The sequence below is a fragment of the Homo sapiens genome, chromosome 6 (genome assembly GCF_000001405.40).
Source record: "Homo sapiens chromosome 6, GRCh38.p14 Primary Assembly".
Classification (NCBI taxonomy): Eukaryota; Metazoa; Chordata; class Mammalia; order Primates; family Hominidae; genus Homo; species Homo sapiens.
In genome coordinates, this window is record NC_000006.12 from 121,006,976 (window position 1) to 121,017,862 (window position 10,887).

General features: G+C 37.1%; 1 long non-coding RNA gene across 1 annotated transcript in view; it reads right to left on the minus strand.

Annotated features, from left to right (window-relative positions):
* The window catches only part of LOC105377977 (uncharacterized), a 46,633-nt gene extending 36,375 nt beyond the window's left edge, over positions 1–10,258 (minus strand). Inside the window, exons 1-2 of the long non-coding RNA XR_942934.2 lie at positions 9,642–10,258; positions 3,251–3,380 (exon numbers count right to left, since the gene is read on the minus strand). This is a non-coding gene — a long non-coding RNA (uncharacterized LOC105377977). The remainder of the gene's footprint in view (positions 1–3,250; positions 3,381–9,641) is intronic.
* Between the last annotated feature and the right edge of the window lie 629 nt (positions 10,259–10,887).

Below are 10,887 nucleotides of genomic sequence, written 5' to 3' on the forward strand. Positions count from 1 at the left end.
ATATATCATGATCCGACTTTCATTTTAAAAGGATCACTCTGGTCTTCATGTTGAGAATGGAAGGTTGGGACAAGGGTAGAAACCACTTAGGAAACTATTAGAGTAATCCTAGGGAAAAGATAATGATGACTTAAAGATGGTGATAAAGGATATAGAGAGAAAGGTTCCAATTCTGAATGTATTTCAGATGTTGAGCCAACAAGATTTCTTGATGGATTGAATATAGATATAAAGCAGAGGCAAGAATGAATGATTTTGGACCTGATCAATGACAATTATGAAGTTGTAAATAACTAATGGAAAACCTTGTTACAGAAGTTGGGAGTAACGCAGGGGTTTGGTCTGAGATATTTGGGGGTAAAATTTGTACTACACATTGAAGTGAAAGTGTAGAGTATATAGATATATGCCTCTGGGGTTTGGGAGAGAGGTATAGGGTGGAGATATACATTTAAGAGTTGATGGCTATATATCATTTAAAACTTTATGAATGGATAAAATCACTAAGGGAATAAATTTAAAAAGAAAAGAGTACCAATCACTGAGCCTTGAGTTTCTGAAGTTAAGGAGACTGAGAAGATGAACCTGAGAGGAAAAGGAAAGGAAGAAAATCAGAAGAGTGTGGTGAAGGAAGTATGTCAAGAATTATGTCAAATTCTGCTGATGGAATAGTAACTAAGGATAGTCCACTGGGTTCAGTAACATGGTAACATGAATAAGCTTTAAAAAGTGTAACTTCAAAGGAGTGGAGGGGCAAACATCTAAAAGAGGTAGGTTAAAAGAGAATTAAGGAACACAATTAAAGACAAGGACTATAGATGACTCTTTCAAGGAATTCAATAATAAAAGTGAGCAAAGAAATAGTATGGTAGCTGGTAGGGAAAGTAGGGTCAATAGGTTTTCTTATTGTTTGTTTTACTTTTTATTATCAAGAATTTTATATATACACGTAAGTACAGAGAATAGTATAGTACTCATCACCAAGCTTTGATCATTATCAATATTTTGCTAATCTAATTTCATCTATATCCCACCTCACTCTTAAAGCGTATCTTATGTTTCATATTATTTCACCTAAAAATACTTTAGAATGTAATTTCAACTGATGAGAGCATTTTGGCATAACCACAATACCACTGTCACAGCAAACAAAATTTATGACAAGTCCTTAATATTGTCTAGGACCTAATAAGTTTTGTTTTGCTTTGTTTTTTGAGATAGGGGAAACAATAGAATGTATTTATGATAATTACAATAATCTAGTAGGAAAAAAATTGACTGATATAAAAGAGACAAAAAATATGGTTGGAATTGTATCCTTGAGTAGGCAAGACAGGCATGTGATCTAGTGCACAAGCAGAGGAATAGCTTTAGATAAGAGTATGGATAGTTTATGATAATAGATGAGAAAGCATAGTATTTGGTGTGGTTACAGGTGCTGGCTGGGCACTTTGGCAAATAGGGTAGTGGGATAATGTGTAATATCTCTTACATCTGCTTTTATTTTTAGTGAATAAGATGCAAGGTCACTAGGTAAAATAGAGGATGGGCTTGGAGATGCTGGGAATTTGCAGAGAGAAAATAAGATGTCAAATAATAATCCAAGATATTTAGACAGTAAATAGCTAGGGACATCCACTATGCTTTTATGAGCTTACTTGAAAGTTGTGGTCATATATTTAAGGTGAGAGTAATCAATGTGGTTGAGAATTTTTCTCTAGCTAGAATCAGTTCCAGAATGGTGGAGCTACCCACAGAATATTATACATTTATGTGGGTCTGGCTAGCCCCAATGACCAGGGGAAATGTATTTTGAATGATGCAATAACCAACATGAGCCTAAAATAATAAAGATGAATCAGAAAAAGAAATGTGGTGAATGGCAGGGTGAGAACACAAGAAGAGGCACTGAAAACACACAAGGCAAAGAAGTGAGGGAAAAATGTTTGAGTTTAAGAAAATACATCAGTTTGATTTTGCTGAAATTTAAAATGTAAAGAATGGAGTAGTAACACATCAAGCTAGAAAAGGATGTAGACCACACAGAGCTTTATAACAGACCTGGGTTTTATCCAGCAGACAATGAAAGGTTAACAAATGGTTTTAAAAAGGGAAGTGTAAAGATTCCATTGTACAGTTTGAATAAAAATAAATAAAATAAGACATGTGAGGATTTGGGAAAGACACACGCAAAGTCAGGAACCACCATGAAGTGAGGCGTTTGGAGCAGGAATCCCCCAGTCAAGAAACAACAAGTTTCTGAACCAGAGCAGGGGAAAGGAAAAAGGCAGGAAATGAAAGAAGGAAATCAATTAAACAAATATTTAGATGTGGAATTAGCAGGATTTAATAATTATTTCAGGGATCTCCAAAATGGAGTAGAATGACTATATAGTAGTTATAGGAAATAAATATTAGAACTTCTTTTATCTTAATAAATAGAGTTTTCTTATATTTAATACATTGATTGATAATGCATGTAAATAATAACTAAATGAACTCATTTTGAAGTGCCTGATTAACATTTTTTACTATTAGGGTGCAAGTTCACAATAGTTTGGAGACCACTGTTTAGATGTGGATAGAGTGTAGGAAGAAAAAGGAATAGAGAAGACTGGTTTCTATTCAAGTGACAGGTATATATTTTTGCCACCAAATAAGACAGAAAATAACAGATTAGAAGACAGTTTTAGGGAAGAGTGACAATAGATTTAATTTTGGATGTATGTTTAGGTATCTGAGGACATCTTGGTAGAGCTTTCCAGCTGACAATTGAATAAATTGGTTTGAAACTCATTAGTTAAACGTACAGATTTGGAAACTAATAAGGTACAATGCTGGTTAAAACTCTGGAAGTGGGTAAGTGGAAGACCACTAAGTGGCAGGTCCAGGTGGAGGTGAAAGGGATAACGATATTTGCTGGCAGGAATGGTAGTGTCAGTGTTGATAGGGTTGAGGTGTATGGAAAAGATAGTCATGAGAAATTCAAAAAGAAATAAAGATGAGCAGAACTAGAAAAGCTGAATACAGAAAACAACAGTGCAGAATATTTTAAGAAGTAGCAGGTATCAATAGCATCAATGCAGGAAAGGCACAATGAAAATAAAGAAGGGAAGAATAAATTTTGCCAGCTGGAACATTTGTATCCTTCATGTAAGCAATATTTTAGAAAAAGTAATTGGTAGCAGAAAGGTAAGTGCATGGCGGAGTAAATAGAAATAAAGAAGGAGAGGCAGTGAATATAAACTACCTTTTGAGAATTCTGGATAAGTAGGAGGAAAAGATATTTATTTTGCTCATATCCACTTCAATTCTTCTTTGTCTCCATGTCTGTAAGTCTTCATCGTCTTTAACAGTACTATTATAATAATTACTGCCCTCTAGGGATGAAAGAGACAAAGAAAAAAAAAGAAGAGACAATATTAGCAGTTACAATAACAACAATTGCAATGATACTATTTAATATTTAAATACCACAGCAACCCACTTAGGTAGGCCCTTAATTTTTATTCAATTTTTGTAGGTGAACTAAGACTGAAAGTGACAAGTGATTAGATCGAAGTATACAGCTTGTAATGTAGAAATGATTGCTATGCACCTTGAGATCAAACTTTGTACAATCCAGAGTGAGTCTGGTTCACTCCGCCTTACAGGAATAAGACTGGCCTGAAGGCCCAGGAATTTTCCTCTTCTAGAACCACCTCTGGCTATCCTTTTCTATATATACTGAATTTTTAGTCTTCATTCTGTGTTATGAAGTTGTTCCTTTCTGTCTGCTCTGTACTAGGACTTCAATCCCTCTTCTTTAGCTTTCACCAGAAAGAAATCCCATTCCATGTGTGTTTAAAGGCCACACTTCACAGAGAGTTTGGCTAGATGGAGAGCAGGAAGTAACATCACAGCAAAGAAAACAACTTCATACTTGTTATCTTTGTTTTTTTTTAAGTCTTTTAGACAATTCTGGCCATTCTGGTTCCGGGTTCTTTCCATGTTATTTGACTCCATCTCTCTCTTTCCCTTCTCATTGCTACTTTCAAGATTCAAAATGCTGGCTTATCATCCTATATATATATATATAGAGAGAGAGAGAGAGAGTAATGTCACTCTAGTATTTTTGTTAAATCTTCTTCAATTCCTGGTGTTTTTCTTTCCAACTCCAAGTGACCTAAAATTTGCATATCTTTATTTTCCTAAGTAAGGACTGTTCCTTCCCTAAAAGGAATTTTATTTTCAGTGAATAAAAATATGCTTTCTCATTCAGTCACACATGTAAAAGCTTTGGTCATGCATCTTTTGATCTATAATCACAATTGATTAAATCAGCTGTTTTTGCTGACCATAGTTGGAAAACTGCCAAAATTCATGGTTAACAATTTAATTATTTCTCTAATTGAATATATGTTTAATGACATTTGCAATTTATGGTTTACTACAAATATGAACTTTGCAAGAACCCACAGATCTAGAATTTGAATATACACTTAATATAACCCCCCTGCAGATCTAATTAAACTAAAGAGCTTCTGCACAGCAAAAGAAACTACCGTCAGAGTGAACAGGCAACCTACAGAATGGGAGAAAAGTTTTGCAATCTAGCCATCTGACAAAGGGCTAATATCCAGAATCTACAAAGAAATTAAACAAATTTACAAGAAAAAATCAAACAACCCCATCAAAAAGTGGGCGAAGGATATGAACAGACACTTCCCAAAAGAAGACATTTATGCAGCCAACAGACACATGAAAAAAATGCTCGTCATCACCGGCCATCAGAGAAATGCAAATCAAAACCACAATGAGATACTATCTCACACCAGTTAGAATGGCGATCATTAAAAAGTCAGGAAACAACAGGTGCTGGAGAGGATGTGGAGAAATAGGAACACTTTTACACTGTTGGTGGGACTGTAAACTAGTTCAACCATTGTGGTAGACAGTGTGGCGATTCCTCAAGGATCTAGAACTAGAAATACCATTTGACCCAGCCATCCCATTTCTGGGTATATACCCAAAGGATTATAAATCATGCTGCTATAAAGACACATGCACACATATGTTTATTGCAGCACTATTCACAATAGCAAAGACTTGGAACCAACCCAAATGTCTATCAATGATAGACTGGATTAAGAAAATGTGGCACATATACACCATGGAATACTATGCAGCCATAAAAAAGGATGAGTTCATGTCCTTTGTAGGGACATGGACGAAGCTGGAAACCATCATTCTCAGCAAACTATCGCAAGGACAGAAAACCAAACACCGCATGTTCTCACTCATAGGCAGGAATTGAACCATGAGAACACTTGGACACAGGAAGGAGAAGATCACACACTGGGGCCTGTCGTGGGGTGGGCAGAGCGGGGAGGGATAGCATTAGGATGTATACCTAATGTAAATGACCAGTTAGTGGGTGCAGCACACCAACATGGCACATGTGTATATATGTAACAAACCTGCACGTTGTGCACATGTACCCTAGAACTTAAAGTATAATAATAAAAAATATATATATAAGCCCCCTACAGGAAAACAATAATTAAAACAATACTAAAAGAAAAAGGTACTCCTTAAGCAAATAATGCTATTCTTTGCACATAAAGAATAGGCATAAGAAAGATGACAATTTACTTTCAAGACTGAATTCAGTTGAAAGCCACATGGATGCTCAGCTGATTTATTTACTACTGAACCCCCAGTGCCCAGAAGAGTGCCTGGCTCATATTAGCCACTACATAAATATTTGTTGGATGGACAAGGTTCAGTTCTAAGTTAAAAACTAAATGCTTGAATGTGAGCTTATTTTGACCCAATTCACATACTTCTTCAATAATTTTAAGTTAGGTTCAGATAGCTAGGGAAATTAAGAAAACTATTTAACAGTTTTAATAAATGAGTCTAAAGTAACATCTACCAAGTCACTATATTTAATTTGGATAGTGTAACCATTGGAACATGTCAAAGGAGATAAAAGGAATTAAATATGAGATTGAACTCCAAAGAGAAAAAACTCTGTTAACATTTACTACATTATGCTATATATTTATATTTCACCAATTATATTAATATAATCCTTGCAAGGTAAGTGGCTGTGATAAGCAAAATAAGGCAACCTCCCTACAACCACCAAAAGATATCCATATCCTGATCTCCTGAACTTGTGAATATATTGCCCTACATCGTAAAAAAGTATTTTGAAGCTGTAATTAAGAATCTCAAGATGAGGGGGTGGGTCTAATTTAATCACATGAATACTTAAAAGTGGATAAACTTTCCTGGCTGTAGTTTGTCAGGGAAAGATGCAGTGTTGCTGAATTTGGAGAGGAAGGAATGCATCCAGCATCTAAGAATGCGTGTAATCTTTATAAGCTGAAAAAGGCAAGGAAACAGATTTTCTCTAGTGCTTCCAGAAGGAAATGCAGCCCTGTTGACACATTGATTTTCACACAAGACCCATATCAAATTTATCAAATTTGATAATAAATTATCCTATAGTTCTGGATGTGAGAACTCTGAAATAGATTTCACTGGGCTAAAATCAAGATGTCAGTACTGGTCAGCAATTTCATCACTCCAATCTCTGCTTCCTTCATCACATCTCTTTCTTTCTGGACTTGTTGGCCTCCCTCTGATAAAGTCTCACATAGGCCAGTCACAGTGGCTCATTCCAGTAATCTCAGCATTTTGGGAGGCCAAGATGGAAGGATTGCTTGAGCCCAGGAGCTTGAGACCAGCCTGGGCAACATAGTGAGAGTCCATATCTGCAAAAAAAAAAAAATTTAATTAGTTAGGCATAGTGGCATGCAGCTGTAGTCCCAGCTATCCAGGAGGCTGAGGTGGGAGGATCACTTGAGCCCAGGAGTCTGAGACTACAGAGAGCCATGTTTTCACCACTGCACTCTAGCTTGACAGTGACAGGGAAAGACCGTGTCTCTGGGTTGGGGGGCAGGGAATCATGATTGCATTGGGTCTACCCAAATAATCCAGAATAATCTTTCCATTTCAAAATCCTTAACTTTATCACATTTTTAAAATCTCTTTTACCATGTAAAGTAACATATTCACAGGTACTGGCAATAAGTTTGTGGACATATTTGGAGAGCCATTATTCTGTGCACCACACCTACAGAACTGTAAAATAATAAATTTGCATTGTAAATTCACTAAATTTGTAGTAATTTATTATAGTAGCAATTATAAACTACTACAGTTGCATTATCCTTCATATGCTTTCAAAGAAACAAAGTTTCATAGAAATTAAACATTTTACCCTAGTCACACAACTAAAGAAGGCTGAATTTTCTGAGAATCATCTTTGTCCTAAATACCATACTAACTTGGATATTAGTAGCAGTACGAAAATTAGAATATACTACTAAACATTTCATTCATGCATTGATTCAACAAACAATTATAGAGTGTCCACTATACACCTGGACCTGTTCTGGATAATGAGTTGTCTTGGTTATTAAGCATCTCTCTTCCTAACTTTCCTGTTAATAATCCCTAATCGATAAAGTCCAATTTCTGTATAAAATAAATTTATTTTAATATTATTTTCTTTACATACTACAATATACTCTGATATTTTATGAAACCTTTCAGAAGAAGTTTTACTGAAAATTATATTTAGAAGTTGGAAAGTAAATTGGCAAATTTAAGATAAAGAAGGCCACTCCCGAGCTACTCAGGTAGCTTCCTAAGGGCATGTGTACTCACCTTCTCCAATCCACTACTGTCTTAGTGTATTAATTAGTTTTCACACTGCTATAAAGATACTACCTGAGACTGGGTAATTTAGAAAGGAAAGAGGTTTAATTGACTTACAGTTCCACATGGCTGGGGAGGCCTCAGGAAACACAATCATGGCAGAAGGGGAAGGAGAAGCAAGCACCTTCTTCACAAGGCATCAGGAGAAAAAGAGAGCAGGGAAGCTGCCATGTTTATTTCTTTTAATTTTTATTTTTTTATTTTTATTTTTTTGAGACAGAGTCTTGCTTTGTCACCCAGGCTGGAGTGCAGTGGCGCAGTCTTGACTCACTGCAGCCTCAACCACCCGGCTTCAAGTAATCTTCCCACCTCAGTCTCCCAAGTAGCTGGGACCACAGGTACACACCACCATGCTCGGCTAACTTTTTGTATTTTTGGTAGAGACAGAGTCTTGCCATGTTGCCCACGGTGGTCTCAAACTCCTGAGCTCCAGCAATCCACCTGTCTTGGCCTCCCAAAGTGGTGGGATTACAGGTGTGAGCCACCATGCCCGGCAGGAACTGCCACCTTGAAACCAATCAGATCTTGTGAAACCTTCCTCACTATCACAAGAACAGCATGGGGAAACTGCCCCCATGATAAATCACCTCCCACCAGACGCCTCCTTCGACACATGGCGATTACAATTCAACATGAGATTTGGGGGGGACACAGAGCCAAACCATATTACTTAGTTTGAGTACTCAGAGAACAGACTCTGTGACAGAAATTTACGTGTAGTAGTTTTCTTAAAGGTTGCTCCTAGGAACAAGATTTGTAAGGAAGTGAAGGAAGCAGAATTAGGCAGAAATGGAAACTGAACTGTTACAGACAACAGGGGACTGAGAAAATCACACAGGAAGTCCAAGAGCTGAGGTTACCCCTCATATGTGCCTGGAATTGAGGCAAAAGGGCTGAGTCCCTGAAACCCCATATTGACTAGTCATTGGATAGCAGGGTTGTTCCCAAAGAAAGGGCATGACCTTTTTAAGGCAGGTCCCTTTGGATAAAAACAATCGGTAGAGAGGTATTCAACTCTAAGCTAAGAGCAGCCAATACTCCTGGCAGCCAAAGTGACCATACAGCAGCCATACCTTCAATTTTAATATGATTCATACTGTGTCTCCTGGTAGACCCATCCCCACTCTGTGGAACAAGAATTCTAGTTGCTCAGAACCTAGAATTTGAGGACAGGAAGCACAAATTATCCCAGTAGACCACCAGGAATGATAAGCGAGGCCACTCCTGCCTCATACTCTGTCAGTTCACAAGTACTGATGTTGGCTGAGGCTTAGTTTCAGGAAATGCAAAAAACCCCAGACTATTATGTCAATTCCATCCTGGACCTGCTCTGAGCCCTAGTGAAAACTAAAATCTTTCAGTCACTTGTAAATGGGTCTGAGCACTATTACTAAGTAATGAGAATTATAAGATGAAACAATTTGTACTATACATTTGAGGGGATGCCCCACCAGTTTGCAGACCATTCTGTAGGTGATGAAATAGACCAATTACGTTTTGTAGAGTTTAAATCACACCACTAGGCATGTCGTGTTCTAGTAAACATTTCCATAGCTTTCTGTAAGTCAGCACACACATACACAGAAACACACACACATACTCATGCACAAACATACACATACACATGCCTCTCTGACACTGCCACTCATTTATCTTGCTTCAAATGGTTTAAATACTGTAAGCTGGCTTTGATTATTCCAAAATCCTAACATTTCCATTGCAATTAGGGACTCCAGTTCTGTAACACCAATTCTATCATCAGCCATAACCCACAGAGGACGGCCACCACTGAGCTTCTCAGTGAAGCTGGTTCCTTTCACGAGAACATTACTTACGGCTGTGGAAAATGGAGTATCCTCTGTGCTTACCTAATACATCCCTCCTGCATGTTCTCCGAGTCTCTTGGTTTCTTCTTCCATTGTCTGCTATAGCAACTCTAGCATTTCTGCTTCTTTAAATGTGTGCCATTGCTTTCTCCAAACTTCTAAGAACCAACTTATTTGCATTTTAATAGCATTTCTTGGGGTCTTTGATGCAGTGTTAAATCCTATATCAGAAGAAAGCATTTCCATATCAATAAACTATCTTATCCAACTAAGTTCTGTTCTCCCTCAATTCAGTTATCCCCAGAATCCAGCCCCACACATATTCTCCAGGCTCTTCCTGAAACACATTAACTAGGTCCTTTCTTTTCTATAGAAAGTCCAGCATTATCCCAGTTGGGTTATGTTAATACAAGAGGAGAGATGGAGGTCAGCATGTGTTGTCTATATCATCTTCCAGAAGATGGTAGAACATTTGTCTTCAACAAGGAAAAGTCGGCCATATCTGCACGCTGAGATTTCAGAGGAATGTGAGGATTCAGGTTTTCAAGTGTTTTGACTCAAATGTCCCCATCCCAAATCTCAGGATTCTATACCTTCTCAATAAGAGTTTTGACCCTGATACAGTAGACTTACAAGGCAAGGAGTAAATATTCTCTGGATCTCTGCTGCCCTCATAAATAAATTTTAGGCCTAATTGTCAGCATGCTCCCTGCTGCATTTACAGAATATGAAACTATTCTAAATTTACCTTTACTCAACTTGACCAATAAACATGGAGATCACTATGGCACTCAACATCTATACATCTACACCCCTGAAATTTTGAACTACTGAAATTCCCTTCTCTGATTCAACTTCCTCCTCCTACAGCTGGATTTACTGATCTTGTTTTACAACCTCAACATAATTTACCGTTAAATTATCCATTCCTAGTCTCATTTCCTTCCCAATCCAGTCTAAACCCTACTTCAACTCCTTTCTTACCAGCTTTCACAAATCTCCTGGCCATCCAAACTTTTACCATAACAAGTTCTCCTATCCTCAACTTTGAAGAACAAAAATACCTGTTTTTCTATTTCTTTCTGCTGGACTATTGCAAACTACTGGAGAAAAATGACATAACAGTAAAGATCACCTACAATAAAATTTATGTTTTTCAACTTTAGTAGTCTTCAATGTTTTCCACCCATTATTTTACTTATCATTATTGCATAATTCTCTTTGTCAACGGAACAAAGTTGTTTCAAACCAAATCTAGTATGATTAAGCATTTGTTCCCAATTGATAA